The following is a 22,430-nucleotide window of genomic DNA, read 5'->3' as shown; positions in this document are numbered from 1 at the left end:
GACCCCGTCCTTCCAGCCCGCGGCCCCCACCCCGGACCTGGCCCAGCCTCGGGGACCCCCGGGCCGCCACCCCCGGCCCCGCCATCGCCGTCAACTTACCCGGGAAGCGGCAACTTTTCCTGCTGCCTCCGGCTCCGCCCTCCCGGGGCCGGGGCGCCCTTGGCCCCAGCCTGGCGCGGCACTGCGGTGGCCCTCCCGGCCGCCCGGCTACGCTTCCCCAGCCTTGGAAGCCCTGGACGGGCCCTGCGGCTCCGAGGAGGGGCGAACCACCCCGCTCTGCGCCCCGCCGCCTGCTGGGCTCTGGCGCCGCGTGGACACTCACCTCCAGTGGACGCCCTCTTCATCATAGGGGTCAGGCGGAGCGGGTCGGGGACCGAAAGTCGCTTCGGGGCGGGCGCCAGTCTCCGGCCCAGCCCCGGGCCGGCATCCAGGCGCCGCCGCTCCGGCCCAGCCCCGGCCCGGCAGCGGGTCTAGGCTCCGCGCGCTCCGCTCCGCCCGGCTCGGGCGGGGCTCGGGCCGCGGGCGCGCAGGGCGCGGGAGGCGGCGGCGGGCGGGGCCCTCACCTGGGCGCAGGCGCCTGCCTGGGCGGGGGCTGGGGGGCGCGGGCCTGGGCGGGGGCTGGGGGGCGCGGGCCCAAGTTGGGGCGTGAGCGGCGCGGCTGGCCGGGGAGCGTAGGCCGGGCAGCAGGAGGTGCTCAGCCCACCCGGCCCTAGACAAAGCCGCGCATTCCTGAAGAGGCGGCGGCCCTGCAGGCGGCGGAGGGGATGGCGGCTGGGGCCATTGAGGCCTGGGGATGGCCTCTGCGCGACCCACTCGCTTCCTGGCCTCACGAAACCCATGAACCCCCCGCCCCCCCCCGCCCCCTGCACAGAAGCCCCTTGCTGGAGCACGATCGCCCCCATTTTTCAGTAAGAAACAGGCTCAAGGCTTAAGAGCGTTCTGGGGGCCCTCTTGGGCCTTTGTGGCCCTCTCTGCACCACCCCAGGGAGGGGACCCAGGCCTGATGTTACCCATAACCCTGCAGGGGTCCCCCACCTCTTCCTTCCTGCGGAATGTGGCCTCCAAACCCAGAAGACGCTCTCCGAGGCCGCCTGCTTAGTATCATCCCCCACTCTACTAAGCCAGCCCCCAGCGGGGCCGGGGGGGCGTCATGGAGCCAGAGAACCCAGTGACACCCCTACACACACCACACAGGGTGGGGGTGTTCCTTCTCCGTCTTCTGCTCGGGGGGCATCCGATGATGATGAGCTCCTAAGCCCATCCCGGGGTCTTCAGACAACTGCCAGGCTGTCCCTGCACCTGGAGGAGTGCTGGGAGTCAGCTCAGCTGGGCTGGGTCCTCCCCAGGCCCACCCTGCATGACAGGACCAGGGTCTTGCAGGCCAACCTGGTGTCAGTCTGTAGGACCCTGACTCAAGGACGGAGTGGGCCAGCCTGAGGTCTTGATGGCTCCCCTCAGAGCCCAGGTCCACTGATATGAAGCAGAGAGACCTGGTGACTGGGCAGCCCTGTGCTCTCTGCCTGCCCCTGGCCATGGAGGTGGCCCTGAGGGAGATGAGCAGGGCACAGGGCTGGTGACCTGCCTGCCTTGTCCAGAGGAAGTGAGGACCTCCCAGAGCCCTGGTGCTCCCATCTGATCCCAGTGGCAGGCAGCTTCCCAGGGTGGAGCCATGCTGGCCGGGCCCTCTGCCTGGTGTGGAGGCTGCACTGCCCACATGCCTCTGGCTGCCGCTCTGTGGCCCTCATCACCTTGGCCTGCTTTATCCCTATCACCCTTGTCCCAGCCTAGGCTTATGAGGGCATTGTGGAGTGCATGCCATTCCCAGCCACACAGAAGGTGAGGTGGGGCCCAGACACCCCCAGCCACTCTGTCCCCTGGCCTCCTGAAGGGGTGGGCTGTGCACACACTGCCACCTCCCCAGAGGGTGCTGGCTGCCGAGTGCCACCAGCTCAGCCCCTGAGGTGGCTCAACAGGTCCTCCCAGAGCCACACCAAGATGTCATCACCCATTGCACAGATGGGGAACCTCAGGCGAAGCTGACAGAGCCAGTGGGAGGCTGAGGCCTGACCCCTAAACAAGCATTCTTCCTCCAGGGTCCCTGCACGCAGCAGCCCCTAGACTAGGAACTGAGCTCTCACCACAGGGATGTATCAGACCCTAGATGAGTCATGAGGCACTGACCATCAGTCTGAGGACAGCGCTGGGGTGGACCAGGCTCCAGTCTCGGGCTGCTCTGTGCTTGCAGAGAGGGCTTGAGAGGACACTTGCGTGCTTACTATGCAGGCGTCTCTTCAATTACCAGTGACCCAGAGCGGCCCACTACAATTGAAGATTGTGACCCCACACCCTATCTCATAGGTTTAAAGCCCCTCCCACCCCTCCTGCAGCAGCCAAAGTGACCATTCTGGGGCATGGGATGGGCATGGGGGGAAATGGGGAGCCAGGGCTAACCTGGAGGCTTCTGGCACCACAGCCCTCTCCAGCCATCAAGTCCGGCTGTTCCCAGCTGCTCTGGGCTGGGACCTGGGCCTCCACCTCCCCACCTGTCTGTGCAGTGGGAGCAGGCCCAAGGCCCACAGAGGGAGCGCTGGGGGACCGGCTGGTTTCCTGTGTCCGCCACCTCGGTCAGCACCTTGGCCAGCGCCCTCCCCACTGGAAGCTGAGCCCACTCCTGGGTGCTAGCTGGAACGATTAGGTGTGGGCCAGCGCTGATAGGGAGTTATGGGGGTGCAGAGGCAGAGTTGAGCAGGGCTAGGCAGCCGGTCGGTCTGCTACCAGCAAGGCACAGCCCGCTTCTCAGGCTGTGCATGTGGGAGGGTTTGGTAAGCCACATTTTTCAGGGTGTAGCCAGGTCGGGGGGCAGCATGGGGAGTGGTGTACTCTCTGGGCAGGCGACCGCGGAGCCATCACCCCCCCAGGGCCCAACGGGCAAGGGAGGGAGGGCAGCTGACGGCTGGTGAGGGGCTAGCAGGGAGGGCTTGACAAGGGCTGGAGCCCCTGGTCAAGGGGCACAGCCAGTTCTATCGGGTCACCTCATGGGAGGAGCCAGGGACCCTGTGGGCAGAGCCTGGCCGTCTGCTGCCCGGAGTCTACACCAGTCAGTTCCTAGGAAGCCCCAGCAGGGGTGCTGGGAGGACAGGCCATCTGTGCCCAGCTGATGCAAGCTCCCAGGCTTTCTGGACACGTGGCCCTGGGGATCAGGAGTGAGCTGGAGACTGCAGACAGCTGTGACCTCAGGGCTGGGCAGACCTGTCACACCCTGCCTGGACTGGGTCAGCAGGGCCACACGGGCATCTGCCCGAATCGTTCCCCACCTCACACCCACCATGTAGGGCACATCCTTTGCCAGCTTCCCCAGCCCACCACCCCCCTCCAGTGAGGCCAGGGGCTGCCTCACCTCCCACCCCCACCCCCAACCTGGGGCTCGGCCTCCACGACCAGCATGCCGGTCATGAGGGCCCTGCCCAGCTGTGTGACCTCGGCCCAGCCCCTTGGCCTCGCTGAGCTTGCACAGCATGTGGACGAGGCAGACGCTAATGCCTCAGGGCCTGGTCAGCTGGTCACTGTCCCTCCTTTGTTCACCCCTCCTGTCCCCTGAGAGGATCATGCAGGGTTTTCACTCAAAACTCCATGCCTGCCCATAGAAGCCAGCTTGAGATGAGGGGACCTTTCGCAGTGGCCCGTCTTGGGCTGACAGGGACACGGTTCAGCCTCCTTGGAAGGTCCCTTCTTCCCAGGGCTTCGGGAGGCTCATCTCCCGCCTGGAGAGATAGGCGTGCCATGGCTTTCCTTGGCATGCCTGTGCGGTTCTCACGGACATCCAGGCCCTCGGTGTCTCCTGGGGAGGGATGGGCAGCAAGGAAATTGGGTCTTTGCTCCACACATTCTGGGCCACTCCAGGCCAATGCAAGGAGAGACCAGGAAGGAAGCTAGAAGGTCATGCGGCAAGCACATGCCTGCTGCCCAAGCGTGTCAATGTGACCAACCCTTCCCTGCACTCTGAGTGGGCGGCTAGGGATGTGGTCCCGGTGCCAGGGAGCTGGGGGGCGTCAGCCTGCCATCTGCTCTCACCACAGAGGGTGGCTGCATGCCCAAGGCCCGAGAGGACTCTGTGCCAGGCCTGCTGAGTGAGTCATCCCATTCAGTCCTGCAGTGTAGACACTACTACCACCACCCATTTTCCAGACCAGAGAAGGAGGTCTGGGGAGCTTAGGTGGACCCACGTCTTGGCAGCCTCTCTCAGCCCTCTCTTTGCCCACAGCCTCTGCCTCCTCCAGAAGCCTCTCACCATCCCCCATCCCCAGGGCTGCAGAGGGTGTCCTGGTCTTCCCCCATCAGTTCTGCACCCCTGAGGACTCCCATCCCTAGGAGTCCCTCTGCCCAACTTTGGTGCATGTTAAGCCATAATTAATATGCTTCCTCATCTCTTATTCATCAAAGCCACACGCAGCAGCAAAGGGGGCTGGCACAAGGAAGGGACCGACAACCAAATCCTGGCAGTGGCCCCAAGAATCCCACTGGGCCTGCCCATCTCCAAATGCCTCTGACCCTTCACTAGCAAGGGCCTCCTCCCACAGGGCTGCCTCCCCCAGCCCTGGACTGGATCCCTTGTGGCCCATCTCCAGGATGGGAACCTGAACAGAGATGAAAGGACACTCGACCAAGTGGGACATGCCAGGCTGGCACCTGGACCCCTGGTCCACCACTCTTCCTGGTGCCCAGAGGAAGGGGTGAGTCCCCAGGGTTCCTGGACCTTGAGATGAGCTCGGGCCACTTGTGTTCGCCAGCAGATGGGCTCAGGGTCTTCTCTCAGTGGGCACAACCAACTTGGTGGCCTCTCTCTGGGGAGGCCGGCTGGGTGGGGCTGGGGAGTAGGAGGCTTCTGGTCCCTGTAGGCACAAATCTGGTGCAGGGGCAGAGCTCCGGAAGGTGGGGGTCCCTGGGCTGTGCCCAAGGCATCCGCTGTGGCTTCACGCCCCTCCCCCACCCCTGCAGGGAGTACGGATCCTTCTAGAGCCACCCACCTGGCAGTGACAGCTAAATTGGGAGCTGCTGTTAACACCAGGAGCCCAGCAGGCAGTCAAACCTGGGTTGGGGGGGAGGGGCACCTGTTGAAAGCACCCACGAGCTCCCAGTGGAGCAGGGAAGGCAGGGAAGGCATGGCGATAGCTGTCAGCAGGAGTGGGTGGGGAGTGGAAGGCAGGGTGGACCGCCAAACCCACCTTGGGGCCACAGTGAGATGGTCCCTAGGATGCCTTGGCTGGCTAGTGCCCAGCCTTGCTCTTGTAGGAGCTCCCTGGGTCCCTGGGCACCCCACTCTGGGCCACCATGATCCATGCGGCATGCAGGTTTGTTCCGTTTCCCAGATGGAGAGGCTGAGGGCTTGCTCTGAGCGCAGTGGTCCCACCCTTCACAGCCTCCCTCACTGCCTTCATCTGCTCACTTCCTCATTCATTTAGTCACTCAACAAACACTCTGAGAGGCAAGCTGTAACACCCCGTATACCTTTACTGGACCCCTATTCCACATATCCCCACTGGGTACAGGTGGGGAAACTGAGCCCCGGGGAGGTGGGCCTTGGCCTGAGTTCCCCAGCCAGTGATTCCAGGATAAAGGGCATAGCCATGCCGTGTGGTCACTTGAAGCCCACAGGGGTGACTGGGAAGAGCCCACCTAGCACCCCACATTCTGCCATGGTGACTCAGACCAAGTCCTTGGGGCTCTGCCCCCCAGCCAGTGGCTCTGCCTCTGAGAGCCATGGGACAGGGAGCTGTGCAGGGTGGGGCCAGCAGAGCCTGCGCCCCTGCCCGAGCTGGTCCTGATGGGGCCTGCCCTGACCCCTGCCCAGGCTCACGGGTGCAGAGCAGGGCGGGGCCAGCCCTGGCCTTGCAGTAAGATGGGGGCCTCTGTGGGCAGTCCTGGAGGCCAGGCCCTGGGGCTAGGACTTGCTGGCACAGGGCCTGAGTTTCCTCCTGTGTCCGCAGGCCTTATTGCCTGCAAGGGAGGTGGAGGGGCACATGGGCAGTGCCCAGCGTGAGGAGGGGGTTCTGAGACTGCAGCAGCTGGTGGGCCTCTGAGACTGGGGTATTTTTAGCCAGGATTCCTGCTGACTATATAGGCTGGCTGGGGTTTGCTGCCAGCCTTGGAGGCGCTTCTCCTAGCCTGTGTCAGGACATCTGGGGTCTGCCGGCCCCACCACCCTCTGCTCAATGCCACCGCCTCACTGGCCCATCCAGCCAGGCGAGGGGCTCCCAGGAGGCCGGCCATGGTGGGAGCAGAGCCCGGGGCCCTCGGGGTGTGGCTGAGAAGAGGCCACATGGGCTGCTGGGGGCTGCCTGTGTCCTGGGTCTCCAGCTCCCAGCTGCCACTCTTAGCCGGCCCGCTTAAGGGGCAGGTTTCTGGAGGCTCCGGTTCATGCCCAGGCTCGAGTTCTGAACTGAGCATTCTCAGTCCGCTGCCTGCTGCCTGCTGGAACGGATGGCTCAGCAGAGCGGCCACAGCTTGGCTCCCTCCTGGGCACTCCTGCCTGCCCTTGCCGCTTGGGTGCTCTGGTCATCAGGCCTCTCTGGCTGGCTCTGCCAAGGTGCATGTGTGCAGGGCCTGGGCCTGCAGGGCCTTGTGGCTCAGCCAGGACCACCTCCCTTCCCATGGGCAAGTGAGGACATCCAGAAAGAGGGTCCTCTGCCTTGGCCACTCCCTTGAGACACCCCTCCACCCCAAGGCCTCGCGTGGAAACAGAGTCCAGCACTCAGCGTCACGCCTGCGCACTCCACCGGCAGGACTGGCTGAGTCCCGAGGAGCCAGGCCCTGGGGCACAGGCCAATGGGATGGAACCCAGATGAAAGCCCAGTGCTGGGACCCACGGCCCATTCTCTGGCCTGGCTGAAGCCTGACGGCTTGTTCCTTGAATGAATCAGGAGGCCCATCCAGAGCAATTGTGAAGTTCACATGAAAGAAGGAGCATACGGAGAGAGATGGGCCATGTCACATCCTGAAACGCCTTATATTCTAAGACCATGATAATTAACACAGACCCTGGACAGTCACACGATGGGAAAGAGTCCAGAAAGAGGCTCAAATGCAAATATGAGAAGAGGCAGGTCAAATCCAAGAGGAGAGATGGAATATTCAACAAATAATCCCACATATACAATCAACACTTGGCCTTAAGACAACGGAATTGACATATGGAGGAAACATTTGGATTCCTACCTCACTCCTTGACGCTAAAACAAGTTCCAAGTGGAACTAAGATTTAAAAAGTAAAAATGAAACCATAAAACTCCTAGAAGAAAGCATGGATGGCAAAAAACCAATCTTTAGTCACTCTAAGAATTATACAAAACCCAGAAGCCATAAAGTAAAAGATGGGTATATTCAACCTCGTGAAAATAAAAGGCAGATGCATGGAGAGAAAAAAACCACCATAAAATGATAACCAACAAAGGGTAAAAACATCGGCAACTCAGTTCACAAAGGGCCGTTTTTGGTTCTCAATACAAATCAGTAAGAAAAAGAGCAACAGCCCAAGAGAAAAATGGGCAAAGGCATGAAAGGAACCTCCCATCACCCGCTGCTGACCTTCACTCAGAGTGAGAAACACGCAGATCTAAGCTGCAGTGAGATGCTGCCCCTCACCCACAGGGATGGCAGCCGCATCAGGCTGGGGGTTCCCTAGGGGGGCTGCTTAGGGGCTCCCACAGGTCTGGCTGTTGGAGGGCAGGGAGAGGCCTGCAGGTCTGGTGGGGCCGGGGTGAGGCACTCACAGATACGTCTAGTGGGGGTGAGGAGGGGGACCGCCTGCAGGTACAGCTGGGGGTGTCAGGTCGCTGGGGATGGGGTGGAAGGAGAGGATACCCATTCAAAACAGGAAATATATATATTTTAAAATAAAACAGGCTAACTGTAGTGACTCACACCTGTGATCCCAGCATTTTGGAAGGCAGAGCAGGGAGAATCCCTTGAGGCTAGAAGTTCGGGACTAGCCTGGGGAACATAGTGAGTCCCAGTCTCTACAAAAATTAAAAAAATAAAATTATCTGGCTGTTATGGTGCACGCCTGTAGTCTCCGCTACTTGGGAGCTGAGGCAGGAGGATCATGTTAGCCAGGAGTTCGAGTGAGCCCTGATCATGCCACTGTACTTCAGCCTGGGCAACAGAGCAAGACCCTCTAGAAAAATAATAAAACAAAATAAAATAAAATAATAAAAAATAAAATAAAATAAAATAAAAAACAGCTGACATCCGTCCTCTCCTTGCCACCACTGACATGGCTGTGGGCTGAGTTCTCATGGCTGTCCCACCGCGAGTCCCCAAGCGCTCCTGATGCCTGCTCACCCTTCTTGTCTTTGTTAGCGCCCCATTAGCAGAGGCCTGCTTAACTTGTCTCTGGTCTTGCTTCTCAGGAGCTGTGTCACATTCAACAGTGGCAGCACAGAGGCCCTGCTCAGCCCCAGTCCCTCACCCTAGGCCTCCACTGCCAGGTGTGGTCCTGGTGGTCCTGGGGACTCCAGCCATCCACCCCTGCCCAACCTTCACAGGCCACCAGCAAGTCCCAGCCCTCCCACAGGCATGGCTCTGGGCAGTACCTTTACCTTCCCAGCCTCAGTTTCCCTGATGGTGAAACGGGATGAGATCTACTTCCTAGCAGGGAGAATCCACGGGAATGGAGGCCGTGGGAGGAAGAAGACTCGAGGAAAGGAGCATTCCTGAGGGGTCCCAGAGCGGGCTGGGGGCTGACAGGACTGAGTTTGCAGGGCCTGGGGACATTCCCTGGGGAGGTGCTGAGATGCCAGTCAGCTAAAGCAGCGAGGAGTGATCCAGGATGGCTGCCTGGAGGAGGGGCTGGATTGCTGGGCCCTGAGTGCCAAGGTGGGCTGTCCATGTCTGCAGGAACACACCCACCCTGCTGCCTCCAGGAGGGGCGCTGGACAGGCCTGAGCTCCAGGATCATAGGAGGCAAGAGCCACTCTCACCAAAGAAGAGCAAGTGTGCCTCCCCTGCCAGCAATCTGTCCGGTCCAGCCCCTGCCCAGCTATCTGGGGAAAAGGCCACCTTTTCAGTGGAGGCTGAGCTCAGAGAAGGAAGAGGTTGAGAGGGGAGAAATAGAGGGAGTGAGCTGGAAGGTGAGAGGTGTGGGTGAGAGGTGTGAGTGAGAGGTAGGGGTGTGAATTGGGGGTGAGATGTGGTAGGTGAGAGCGGCAGGTGAGAGGTAGGGGTGTGAATTGGGGGTGAGAAGTGGTAGGTGAGAGCGGCAGGTGAGAGGTAGGGGTGAGAGGTGGGGGTGAGAAGTGGAGGTGGGCAGTCATGGTGATAGCTTGTGGGGTGAGAAGTGGAGGGTGAGAATTGGGGTGGGAGTTGGGGTGTCACCTCCCAAACCCTCTCACCCTCAGATTAAGAAGCCCCTGCTATGGGCCCTGGAGGAACAGGCCTTTGACCCACCCCAACCCCACTGGTGTCTTGGGCAGGGAGATCTCGAGGTGGGGGCCTCAGCTCCCCATAGGACCGTCTAGCCCTGGACCACCTGACCACAGCTACAGTGGGACAAGGCCCCTGTTGCCTGTCTGCTGGGGGCCGAGTGTGGTGTGGAGGAGCCAGCAGCCCCGGCCTTCATCACAGAGGAGGAATCCAAGGCCCAGGAGGGTGTCTCTGGCACCCAACACGTGAGACCCTTTGAAAATCCCCCGAGTGCGTGGGGGGCTGGGATGAACATTTGGAGGCAGCAGCAGCAGGTGGCCCACCTGGCCAAACACACTCCTGTGTCCCCTTGTTTTTGGCAATTTCAATGACCAAAGTCAGATCCTGGTATGGAGAAAAGGACATCGGTAAGGACGAAGGAAATGTGAACACTGCATGGACGATGGCTGATAATAGTGTGCCGCTATTGGCTCAGCAACTCTAACCTACCAATGCCAGATGCTCACAACGGTGAAACTGGTGTGTGGTAGATGCGATCTCTCTGTACTGTCTTCTCAATTTTTCAGCAAAGATAAAACTGTTCTAAAGTTGAAAAGTTTATTAAAAAAAAAAAAGAAAAAAGACGGGCTTATTAGCAAAAATCTGAGATAGAACCAAGCAGTAGGGCCCAGCCCACCCCCTGCTCAGGGCGCGCCAGCAGCACCCCTCTCTCAGGGACATGGCCAGGCCTGGGCCACTCTGAAGAGCTCTTACTGGTGCTGAGGGGCCTGGTGGGTTTATTCCACCTGTCAGTCTCACTGCAAAGTGTGGCAGTGGAGTTTGAGTTAGGCTGACTCTTACCCTGCCAAGGACACCCCTGCACTCAGGACCCAGCCCTGGCCCCCTTGCCCTGTGGGCTGGAGGCGACCCTGTGTGCAGATGGCAGATGGAGGGGCATGGTGCCGTTGCTCTCAGGTCAGGGGCAGCAGCCTCAGCCCTGACCAGCCCTCTCCTGCATGGCTGTGGCTGGGTCTCCCGGTCTCTGGCTTCCTTTCCATTCCATCCTGTAGAAAACAGTGTGGTGGGGGATGCTCGGCCTGCAGATCAGACAGGCCAGGGTCAAAGCCCCAAACTACCACCTGAGCTAGTCCTGGCCGAGTGGCACTGATGCTCTAGGCCGAGGGCCCCCTTGACAGAACAGCCATCATCTAGCTCCGCTGCAGGGCAGGGGAGGTGGCAGCATGGGCCGCAGCCCTCGGCTGAAGCAGGGGCCAAGCGGGGCTCTGCCTGGTGCAGGGGGTTTCCTCTATGGGGCAGGGGCTCCCAAATTAGCCCTGGTGACATCTGGAGCTCACCTCTGGGGGCTCTGGGGGCTGAGAGAGCAGGCGGGGCCCAGTTCTATCAATCATCTGCCTTGTTCCTGGGGGATCGCGGTCAGTCCCAGCCTCCCCACAAGTCCTGGGGCGGGGCAGGCCTGCTGGAAACCCAAGATGCAGAGAAGAGCGCCAAGCACCTGAGACAGGGCTCCGAGCACGGAAGGCAAGGACACCTCCCTCAGCCTCAGCTGGGGAGCCGGTGGCCCTGCATGCACTTTCTCCCGTCTGGGGAGCCTGAGCCCTGACCCAGTCCCGAGGCCCATGTGTGCACAAAAGCCTCCTGCTTTCTCACCCAGGACACTGGCAATCAGTGGGTAGGCGAGCCGGAGCCCAGCTGCTGCACTCCCTTCCCTGCCGGGACCGGGCCAGCTGCATCCTCATGCCTGGGTTTCAGGGCTTCTCAGGGGATGTGATGGCACTGCCTGAGGATGTGGGATCCTTCCACTGAAAAGGGCCACACGGCTGTCCCCAGCACCCTTCCAGAAGGGACAACCCACTCCTGGGAGGTCTTAATGTAGACATCGAGGTCCCCCGAGCTTCCTCCATGGCCTGGCCACTTCACAACCATATTTCTTTATGTTCCACGTGCCTTGCCTGCTCCACGGCCAGGACCAGGGCCACCATCTTTGTAGCCTGTGAGGGGACAGCTGCCGTGGGCTGGGCTGCTGAGGCAGGACAGGGGTCCGGGCCAGGGAGGGGTGGATGGAGGCCAAGGGTGGGCCCCTTGGAGACAGCCTTGGGGTGCAGCCAGCTCTGCCACCTCTCCCTGGCTTCCTTCCCTCCAACCTGTGACTCCCGGGAAGTCCCTGATGGGCCAGCCACTTGGGGCCCGGAAGTAACTGTGGTGTGTGGTGGTCACCCTCACCAGAGTTCATGGGGTGGAGCAAGGGGGACAGAATCTCCCCCAAAATCAGGTGTCTTGTTCCCAGGCCCAGCACAGAGACCTGGCCCCCAGACATCTCTGGACATTTGTTAAGAGTGGACGACTGCTTCCATTACACAGGAGAGGAAACCGAGGCTCTAAGGGGTCCCAGACTTGCCTGGCTGCCACAGTGAGCAGGCAACAAATACCAAGTGGCTGCCGCAGTGGGGTAGGTGGGAGGCAGTGGCTGAACCAGAAAGTGCTGCCGTCAATTCTGCTGGTTGCATGAGTCTTAGGAGATGATCAAAGGGCAGATTGTGGGGAGATAAAAAGTATGAGTGGGGAACAGGATTGGGGGGAGCGGAAGAGCCTCAAAGACCCTGCGACATTCTCAACGTCTCCACGGTGACTCAGAGATAGCTCCAACCCGCATGGCGGGCAGAGTGTGGAGGGGACGGCTTTGTGGCTGGATTAGTCATCCCCGTGCAGCTCACCCCAAATCCCGGCTTCCAGCCCTGGGCCGTCCATGCTGGGATGGAGGAAGGGCAGCCTCTCCGCAGGGCCACGTCCTGGAGCCTGATGACCCTGGCCAGCACACAGCTGAAAGCAGCCCACTGTGCAAATGGTGCATGATACAGGGGGTCGGCTCTGTGTTCCCCACGGTGGCCAAGGGACCAGCTGTGCCTCAGTTTCCCTTATTCTATCAAACTTTGAAGAAGGTCCCTGTAAAAGCGCATCTGTTTTCAGGGTAGGGGCCAGAGTCAGCCACCCACACCAGAGTGAGAATTGGTGGGTGCCCTAGCCCCGGCAGGATCTGGCATTTTACTGGACAGAGAGAGGAGGCGGCACCCACTGGGGCTCGGGCAACCATCCCGGCTACCCCCGCCCCGGCCCACCAGGAGAGGAGGGAAGCCTTGAAGTGCCAGGACTTTGAATCGCCCATCTCCATGGCAACGCGTGGGCACAAAGGGCCGGGCCGGCGAGCAGGCGGCGGCTGCGCAAGCTGGAAGGAGGAAGGGAATCTTTTATTTATGGGGAGGGAGAGTCGGGGAGCCAGGCTGCGCCCACGCTCAGGGCCAGGCCGCAGTCTTGAGGCTGGGCCCCCTGCCCCATAGCCAGGGCCTCTGAGCAGCACCTGCCCACACACCCCTGACCCTCCGGGCCCGGCTGGGTGGACGGAGCATGGGCAAATGGAGGGCAGAATGGAGTGAGTGTCCAGCATGCACCCAACCTGGAGATCGGCCCAGAGGGTCCCTGGGAGCCTGCCATCCTCCATACCCCAGTCTCTGTGATGTGGGCACCCGGGCAGATACCATGCTGAGAGCCAGCTGGGCCTGCAGTGAGGAAATGTGGCCCAAAGCAGACTGCAGAGCTGGAACTCAGGTGGGGCTGCTGCCATAGGCTCTGAAGACAGTGCAGGAGACCGGGAGGGGTCACCAGTGCCAAGGCCCTGAGGCAAGCCGGAGCTGGGAGCATCTGAGGATGGGCATTAGCGCGGGGCTCCAGGGTATAGCCGGTCCACTGCAGGCAGCCTGGCCTCCCCAGAGACCCAGCCACAGCTCCTCACCTTGGACAGGGGGCCCTGGGCCTTGGGCATCAAATGACCTGCCTGCCGTGGTGGAGGCTGCCACACCAAGACGCCGGCCCACGGCCTCCAGCAGCCCATCCCCACCTTCCCAAGCCCCTCCCCTCATGGCTTACACCCTGTTCCCTGAGCCCCCAAACATGGGAAATGGCACCTATTGTGCCCCAGCGGGGGAATTCTGACCCCAGACCCTGGGGGCAGTGCAGAAACCACCACTGAATCAGATTTTATTTCATCTAAAAAATATCTGAGCCAGATTGAAAGCAGCAGGGAAAGGGTCCCATGGCTGCTTCCCCCAGCCCCACCCTCCACAGGCCCTGGGCCCTCCCAGCCCCCATTTCCTTTCCTTGAGAATGTCTAAAGTGGGGCAATATTTTGTGAAATTGGAGGCACCGCGTTAGAAATTCCAAACCCGTGTTTATGATGAGCTGCACGCGCGTTTCGAACCTGCCCTGGTTTTGAGCTGAGGGAAGTGGAGGGTGCAGGAGTTGCCCACTCCAGAGGCCCTGGGTGTGCGTGAGGAGCCCTGAGGCTGGGCCGAGAGCCGCTTGTGGGAGGCACTGTGCCCCCTGCCCCCGAGATCGGGGCCTGGGTGCCCAGGACACTACAGACCTTTTGGGGAGCCTGGTGGTTGGGAAGCCTAGAGCTGGAACCCACAGGCCAGAGTCTGAGCTTTCATCCCCCACCCCCGAAGACGCTCCGCCAGCCACTGCCTGCGCATCAGGGGAGACAAGCTCCCCCCACGCCCACCTTGCCTCCAGCAGGGCTGTTCCTCCCCTCATCTGCAGGAATCAGTTTTTTCTTTAACTGAGCCCCATGCTGGGGAAGGGAGAGCTCCAGGGGACCAGGCAGCAGAGAGGGGAGGGGAGAAGCCATCAAACAGGCGGGGGGCTGGGGGGCCATGCACTCAGCACAGAGCCCCACATGGCAGGAGGGGGCTGGGTGGTCGGCTTAGAGCCCATTCTCTCCTGGACACTGTTCTGGAATGGCCCCCGGCCCCTCTGTTCCAAAGATGGGACCCTCCGGCCCAGGGACCCCGTATGATGTCCCCCAAACCACCTCTCTTCCCAGACCTCATCAATGGCAATGAATGGTGCATCCTGGCTGGGGCCGCCGCCCCTCACTGTGAGACATCAGCCCAGACGAGCGCCCAGCCCCTCCTGGGGTCTCAGATACTCAGAATGAAAGGCTCACAGCTGCCATGAACTTCCACAGGACTTTGTGGTTCCTCCTGCACCCCCGGTGATGCTTTCATCCCTCTCCAGCACCGTTCCAGAGGCCAGAAAACCATGATGTTTGGGGTCAAACAGCTGGGAGAGGCAGTTGGAACTCAGGCCAGGCCTGTCTGACTGGACAGTGCTGAGACTGGGACCCCGCTCCCCTACAAGTGCTGTCAGTGCACCCTCGATGCCCCCCAGAGCTTGCCATGCCCCGACAGTTCCTTCATGGCCAAAGTGTCCCCTGGCACAGGATACCCTGGGGTGCCATGTCTGCAAGAGCTCACACCCTTCTCTCCCCAGCTGCTGCTAACTGCTGCCAGAGGTGGGTGTGTGGAGGGCTCGGGGCCTCTTCACCCTCCCTGCACCAACTCAGCTCCAGAACATTCCCAGCAGTGAGGAGAGGGTGGCCACTGTGCTGCAGCCCCAAGGGATGGGCAAGGCCATGCCAGCTGGAGTCATCCATGTCCCCTCGGACATGGTGGCCTCATTCAGAGGGCACCATGGAGAAGGGTACAATGAGGGTGGCTACCAGAGACAGTGGAGATGAGGCGGTCAGGAAGCCCAGTGACGGGCCTGGAGGGGACACACGGCCAGCTGGGCACAGGGCACGAGGCCTTTGTTCTGCGTGCTGTGGCATACGGTGCTGGCTCTGGCCCATCTTTTGTTAGTGGTGGGTTCAGCTCTGTTCCTTGGAGCTCCCTTAGCCCAGGGGTCCACCTCCCCTCTGGGCAGCGCCAATCAGCGCATTCTGCCTCAGCCAGCTGTCAGCCACCTGGACCTCCTCCCTCATTTTACCATCCTGGAACATCACGGTGCCTGGGGCAGGCCATGGAGACCTGGCTAGCCCATGATCTGCTCAGTCCTCATCAGCTGTTGTGACAGAAACAAGTCTGTGCTGATGAGCTGAGCCGACCAGGCTGCAGCCCTCACTTCAGGAGAGGGTCAGGCCCAGCCAGGCCTGGTGAGCAGGTGTGGGGACGGACGGGTGCTCATGTGTGGGAGGTTTCTTAAGAGTGGGTGAGAGGAGGACGGAGAGGGGACCAGTGAAGGAGAGTGGAGGGCACTGCCCCCGTGGGGCAGGACAGGGTGGGGCTGGTGTTAGCTGGGTTGGGTGTGTGGGTCTGGCAGGGAGCCGGGCATGGGAGTGGGTCCCGAGGAGTGCGAGGTTGGAGCCAGGACCATGGGCCTCACCATAGAGGCCTCACCCCAGGGCAGAGGGAGCTGACAGACGGGGCTGACGGGAAGGGGGGCTTCCTGTCATCAGAGGACAGCCCATGGCCACCTTTGTGGGGACCCCACAGGGAGAGGCTGGCCCCTGAGGATGCTCAGACCTGGTTCAGCATGGCCAGGCCCTGGCCTAGCCCAAGGTCAGCACTGGCCGCTACCCTGGGGGCTGAGTCTCCGTCTCGCCCTGTGACATGGTGCCCACACTATGAGCCAGTGTCAACCCTTTGCCCATGTCCCGGGAGCCTTGTGTGTCCATATTCACGGCTGAGAGCCTGCCGTGGGGGTCTCTGCACTGGGGGAGGTGGGTCCAGGGTGTGTGGCCCCTGAGATTGTCCATCATGAGTGCCACCTGGAAGGTGCCGGAGCCTCACCCTGTCCTCCAGGGCCCAGAGTGTTTTGGGGAGATCCTGTGCTGGCATCTTGGCTGGGCCAGGATGGTGTCTAGGAGGGACCCTTGGGAGGGAAGCAGGGGCATCAGGGGGCCTGGTGCTGGGGTGGGTGGCAGGAGAGGCCTGGAGGGCGGCGGCCCAAGCCAGTGGCTGGGCAGGTGTCAGGAGGGAGAGGGGTGAGGCCTGGCCTCCCTGCCGCAGCCAAGCCAGGGCCTGGGTGTCCTGGGGGGTGGGACAAGACCCAGGGCAGAGGCAGGGCTGCTTGCATGCAGGGTGGCCACATCCCGGCCTGGTGAGTGCCGGCCGCTCAGTTCTGCGGCCCTCTGCTGCCCTCCGCCGGCCGCCTCTGTCCCTGCAGGCCCAGCCATCTACCTGCAGATCTGGACAGACCCTCAGACCCCAGGCTGGGAGGTCTCAGGAGCCAAGACGGGGTTGAATCCCATTTGAGGGCATCTGAAGGCGTGAGAGCCTATGTCAAGCCCCTGCCCAGCCTTGCCTTGGCCAGCAGCTCCAAGGGGACTCTGGTGGGCAGTGGCTAAAGATGACAGAGGGGCTCAGAGAGGCTGAGCTGCTCTGTAAGGTTGCACAGTGAGCAGGGGCCGAGTGGCCTTGGGAGAGGCAACAGCAGGAGGGTCCTCGTCATGGCCAGAGCCCGGGGACAGGAAACCCCTGCTGGGTTCCCCCACCAAGTAGCTCCCATTCCCAGCCCTTAGGGTGTCTCAGGAGAGGTTCCGGGGGAGGTCCCACCTGCCTCCTGCCTTCTCCCCCAACCACACCCTAAATGGGTCCCAGCTCCCCAGCCCCTCCCACAAGGGCTCACCCGCCAGAGCTCGGGGAGAGGCCCTGCAGGGCGGCTGTTTCTCCGTGTGCTGCAGTCCTCTGGACACTGAAAACCAATCGCAACCATCTTAATGGCATTTAATATGCACAGTGAAAGTCAGCAGCCACAGCCACGGGCGTGTGCTCAGGGCAAGGTTTACATGAAGATGCCACCAGGCTTAGCCCATGAGTGGCCTCCTGGGTCCCAGGAGAAGTGTGGGGTGGGGGTGCAGCTGGGTGGGCCATGGTAGCAGAGACCTGGGGAGGGGAAGTGGGAGGTAGGAACTGGGCTAGGCAGGGACTCAGGGGAGGCTGAGGCCTGGAACAGGGAGACTGAGACCTCAAGGAGGCTGGGACATTGGGAGTCAAGACTTGGGGAAGCTGGAACATGGGCAGGCCGAGACGCAGGGGTTTAAGAATGAGGGTCTGGTGCAGACCTGAGTTGGAGCCCAGCCGCTGCTGGCCCGACGTAGCTGGAGAGTGTGCTGACCCCATGGTGGCTAGAGAATGTGCTGTTGATAGGGAAGGCAAGTGCTGGGAAGGGAAAAGTGTGGTCCATTTAAATGATACGGAAGCAGGGAAAGGAAGTGCTGGGTAGAGGAGGGCATGGTCCCAGACTAGGGCTCCAACCCCACGGACCTAGGTGAGAACAGGCACTTCCTACCCAAATGTTGCATTTCTCACGACCACCCTGGCCTGCCACGCCCCCATCCTGTGCTTATAAAATCCCCTGAGACCTTAGCAGGCAGACACAGGCAGCTGGACGTGGAGAGGAGCACATCAGCGGAGACACACACGGGCGGCTGGATGTCGAGATGAACGCACTGATAGGCACCGGCATGCTGGCAGGCCACTGACTGGCAGAACCACGCGGAGTTTGGCTGGGGCAGTTGGAGGACAGCCCGGGTGCACAGCGGCCCCACTCCAGGGGAAAACCTTCCCACTCCACCCCCTTCTAGCTTCCCCTATCTGCTGGGAGCCACCTCCCCTCAATAAAACCTTGCACTCATTCTCCAAGTCCACGTGTGATCTGACTCTTCTGGTACACAAAGGCAAGAACCCCAGGATCCAGAAAGCCCTCTGACTAACACAAGCCACCCTACAGACGACAAACTAAAAAAGCCCCCGTGACACACGCCCACTGGGGCTTCAGCTGTAAACCTTCACCCCTAGACACTGCTGTGGGGTCGGAGCTCCACAGCCTGCCCGTCTGTAAGCTCCCCTAGAGGTTTGGGCAGTGGAGCACTGAAGAAGCGAGCCACTCCCCTTCTCACACACACTGCTAGGGCAACAAGGGAACTTTTTCCGTTTCACTGGCCCAAGGTGGCTGGACAGTGTGCTGGCCCCACGGTAGCTGGAGAGTGTACCGTGCTCCCTGGCTTTCCTCCTGATGTATAAAATGAGTTAGCGGGTCCTGGGGGCTGTTCCCACAGTGACGTGGTGGAGGCTGACCCTGACACCCACCCCTGCTGAATGCTCAGTGAATGGTGGTTGCTGTCAGGAAGCATCATTGCTGTCCTCCATCAGTGTCTGTGGGGATGGGTGACTCTTGGAGGATGCTTCCAGCAATGTTGCACTGCCAGGACAGAGGCCATCCACCTGCCTCTGGGCTTCCTGGTGTGAACAGATGGATGGATGGGTGGGCCTGCTGCGTGCAGGGAGCTGAGGCTGGGTCTTCACCTATGGGCAGGAGGCTACACAGGGCTCTGGGAGAGACAGCACTGTGGCTGGGACAGAGCCCATGTGATGAGATGCCCTCGGTGCCCCTGGCCTCCCTCCTTGCTCCTGCCCCTCCAGGACATCACCCAGAGCCCCCTTGCTCTTTTGGGGGGATGCCTGGTGCCTGCGGTTTCTGTCACTCTTGATCCCACCCACCCCTGCAGGTTGCTGGCAGGACAAGTGCAGGAGTCATCTCACGGCTTTCCCTGGGATCTCTGTACCCGCTGAGAACCGGGAGCTGCACACAGCCTGTCCAGCATCCTGGGAACTCACCCTGTTGCTGCCACTTGTCCTGGGTCATCCTGCGGCTCACTCCTTGCCATTCAGACCCCTGTGAGGAGAGCACTGGCTGTGAGTAGCTCTGTGGCTAGTGATGGTGAGGCAGGGCCTGGAGTAGATCCATCACTGAGAATTCTTTTTCTTTTTCTTTTTCTTTTTCTTTTTTTTTTTTTTTTTGAGACGGAGTCTCGCTCTGTCGCCCAGGCTGGAGTGCAGTGGCGGGATCTCGGCTCACTGCAAGCTCCGCCTCCCGGGTTCACGCCATTCTCCTGCCTCAGCCTCCCAAGTAGCTGGGACTACAGGCACCCACCACCACGCCCGGCTAATTTTTGTATGTTTAGTAGAGACGGGGTTTCACCATGTTGGCCAGGATGGTCTTGATCTCCTGACCTCGTGATCCACCCGCCTCGGCCTCCCAAAGTGCTGGGATTACAGGTGTGAACCACAGCGCCCGGCCGAGAATTCTTAATGAAATGGGAACATACCTCCCAGGAAATGCACAGGGGCCTGCAGTGATAGAGCGGCCTCAGGTATGTGCACAGGTGTGAACACGCCTTCCACAGAGGGCAGTGGACGTGCACATGACTCACACACACTGCAGCGCAGGGCAAGTGTCCCACATGTGTTCATGCTTGTGCACACGTCAGTGGGCTGGATGAGTGTGTGCACACCTGTGTCATGCCTGCAGAGAAGACAACGGAGAGAAATACACCCAAATCTCCCCTCTGGGTCCCTGCCCTGGGTGCTGGGATGTCAGAACAGGTTGATGTCCTTTTATCCTTCCCCATATCCACCACGCTGTCTACCAAAGCACGCCTTAGTTTTATAATCAGAAGTGAAATGCACCGTTTCAAGAAAGCCATGGGCCAGCCCCTCTGTGCCCTGGTGTTGGCGGGGGCAGAGGGGTGGGGTGTGTAGGGGGAGATTAGCCTCATGCAGCCGTGGGGCCAGGGAGGCCAAGGTCAGCTTGCTCAGCACCTGGAGGTACAGCGAGTACCAACAACACAGCCTAGCTTGACCGCGGAAGGAAAATCAATGCTGGGCACAAGGACTGACGGCAGACTCACTGGGAACACTGTCCACCGACGTCAGAGCTGCTCACAGGGCACCCGGGAGCTTGCCAGGGAGCCCTGCTGCCTGTGTTTGGAACAACCCTGGTGGGCGAGCACGGGCCCCTCACCTGACTCCACTCAGTGCCCTTCCCAGAGGGGAGACAAAGGCCGTGAACAGCTCTGGAGGCACTCCCTGCCAGTGCCCCCCAGGCCTGGCTAAAGAAATCTCAAATACCCCGAAGGGCCTGGCTCCAGCGGCCCGGCTATGAGTCAGCCTCAGGGGGATGCTCATCTTCAATTGGCCCTGACTGTTCCACATTACAAGATAAACTGTGGGGTTAACTCAAGGCATTATTACTTTGTAAAGACCGCTCTTATACAAGAGCGGTCGATGCAAAAACATTGAGTCCTGTCTTCCTCCATTCCATGTCCTTGCCCCCCATCCACATGTGGCCTGCATGGACAGACAGCTTCACACACTCAGACTCTTCCCTCCCCGCGCATCAGAGATGTGTGTCCCTGTTACTGACATGCAGGGAGGGGCTCATCATCTTGGGCACACCCCATGGTGCCCTGAGCCCATCATCACCTAAGGTGGACATTGAAGGAATTCCCAGGTTTTCCTTTTCAGAAGCCACGGCTCAGGCCAGTGCCTAGGAGGTCAGAGGTTGGGGGCTCAGGGAGGGGTCGCTGCCCAACCGTGCCACCTTGGACTCAGAGTGCCAGCCCAGGGAACCAGGCAGGCCCGGCTCTGACTGTGCCACTGGGCGACCACTGGCTGAGACCTGGGGCTGAAACACATCTCACACCAGCCAACTGTCACAAGCAACACCCATTGAACACAGCCACCCACCTGGGGACAGATCAAGAAGCTGTCACAGATGGCAGAAGAAAACCTGAGGAAAGAGGGACAACCAGTCACAATGAGTAATTTACTGGTAGCTATGATATCGGTTATCACCACTGCCGTGAGTATTCCTTCAACAAGGTCTGACACAGAGAACAATTATACTTACAGGGCATATTTATCAATCTTGACTGGTAATAATGCCTGAAAGTAATCACTCTATGACGTATTTACACATGCTTTCTGATCTCAGTATTTACCATAATAAATCTGCTCCTATAATTGAGGCATACTGCCTTCAAAAACCTATTTGTAAACAAAATAGAACCTGGCCAGAAATAATGAACGTACTTGTTTAGGAAGATTGCATTGCAGAACAGGCAGAGGTGCTGCGCAGCGATTCCTATGGAATCATTATTGATTGGTCCCCTAAGGGGATGTTTAGCTTGAATTGCACCTCTCAGTCTGCATGCCACGGCCACCCTATGTTCAGCTGGTCTGAACAAATGGTCAGGTGGTAGAAATGATAAGAAGTATGGCAAAAGTTCCCATTATCTGGAACCATGGCAGTATAGTGGCACCTCAATCTCAAATGATATGGCCCGCTCTAGGAGCTTCACATAAGGATTTGTGGAAACTATTAACAGTTCTTAATAAGATCAAAATTTGGGAAAGAATAAAAAAGCATCTAGAAGGGCCCTCTACAAATTTGTCTTTGGATGTGCAAAATTAAAAGAACAAATATTTAAAGCATCCCAGGAACATCTGACCTTAATGCCAGGAACTGGAGTGCTTGAAGGAGCTGCAGACAGATTAGCAGCTAGTAACCCATTAAAATGGATAAAAACACGCCAGGTGCAGTGGCTCACGCCTGTAATCCCAGCACTTTGGGAGGCCGAGGCGGGCGGATCACAAGGTCAGGAGATCTAGACCATCCTGGCTAACATGGTGAAACCCCGTCTCTACTAAAAATACAAAAAATTAGCCGGGTGTGGTGGCGGGCGCCTGTAGTCCCAGCCACTTGGGAGGCTGAGGCAGGTGAACCCGGGAGGCAGAGCTTGCAGTAAGTGGAGATTGTCCCACTGCACACCAGCCTGGGCAATAGAGCGAGACTCTGTCTCAAAAAAAAAAAAGAAAGAAACAATGTTTATCACTGGCTTGCTGTCAATAAATATGTGGGTAAATCTCTGTTTGAGGCTCTCAGCTCTGAAGGCTGTGAGACCCCTGATTTCCCACTCCACACCTCTGTATTTCTGTGTGTGTGTGTCTTTAATTATTCTAGCGCCACCGTGTTAGGGTCTCCCCGACTAAGCTGGTCTCAGCAGGAAACAATCTAGCAGGGGTGGGGGGATCTAACTACCTTTTCTCATACACGCATTGAAAATGATTATATAAAGTGGTGAAGTGTGATTGCATTCACATAAACAGTGGCGTGTTCTGGGATCCAGCAGACAATCTTAACTTCAGGAAATGCAATCACATTTTACTAGCTTTGCAAAAAATGAATAAAATGACATAGCTGAACAGAACTCAAGTAGGATCTGTGAACGGCAGCATGAAGTGGATAATGGGATAACGTACCGATGAGGGAAATTTATATACCCAGCAGCCCAGGTTTGGTGCAGGCTGATAAAGGAAAGACAAGCTCCAAATTAAACA

The 22,430-nt window shown here is 59.6% G+C and overlaps 1 long non-coding RNA gene across 5 annotated transcripts in view, besides 2 other annotated features; it reads right to left on the bottom strand.

Annotated features, from left to right (window-relative positions):
- The window catches only part of DGCR5 (DiGeorge syndrome critical region gene 5), a 60,775-nt gene extending 60,262 nt beyond the window's left edge, over positions 1–513 (bottom strand). For all 5 annotated transcript variants that reach the window (NR_110533.2, NR_026651.2, NR_024159.2 and 2 more), the window contains exon 1: positions 323–513. This is a non-coding gene — a long non-coding RNA (DiGeorge syndrome critical region gene 5). The remainder of the gene's footprint in view (positions 1–322) is intronic.
- Positions 601–1,432: an enhancer, noted in NCBI's record as "H3K4me1 hESC enhancer chr22:18957062-18957893 (GRCh37/hg19 assembly coordinates)". NCBI's record gives its function as "activates a minimal SCP1, AML or CMV promoter by ChIP-STARR-seq in naive H9 embryonic stem cells {active_cell/tissue: H9 hESC(naive)}" and the evidence as "EXISTENCE:reporter gene assay evidence [ECO:0000049][PMID:30033119]".
- Positions 12,685–13,202: an enhancer, noted in NCBI's record as "H3K27ac-H3K4me1 hESC enhancer chr22:18945292-18945809 (GRCh37/hg19 assembly coordinates)". NCBI's record gives its function as "activates a minimal SCP1, AML or CMV promoter by ChIP-STARR-seq in primed H9 embryonic stem cells {active_cell/tissue: H9 hESC(primed)}" and the evidence as "EXISTENCE:reporter gene assay evidence [ECO:0000049][PMID:30033119]".

The sequence above is a fragment of the Homo sapiens genome, chromosome 22, assembly GCF_000001405.40.
Source record: "Homo sapiens chromosome 22, GRCh38.p14 Primary Assembly".
In the NCBI taxonomy this organism is placed as follows: Eukaryota; Metazoa; Chordata; class Mammalia; order Primates; family Hominidae; genus Homo; species Homo sapiens.
Note: the sequence above shows the minus strand (reverse complement) of the source record. Positions and strands in the feature narration are given on the sequence as shown.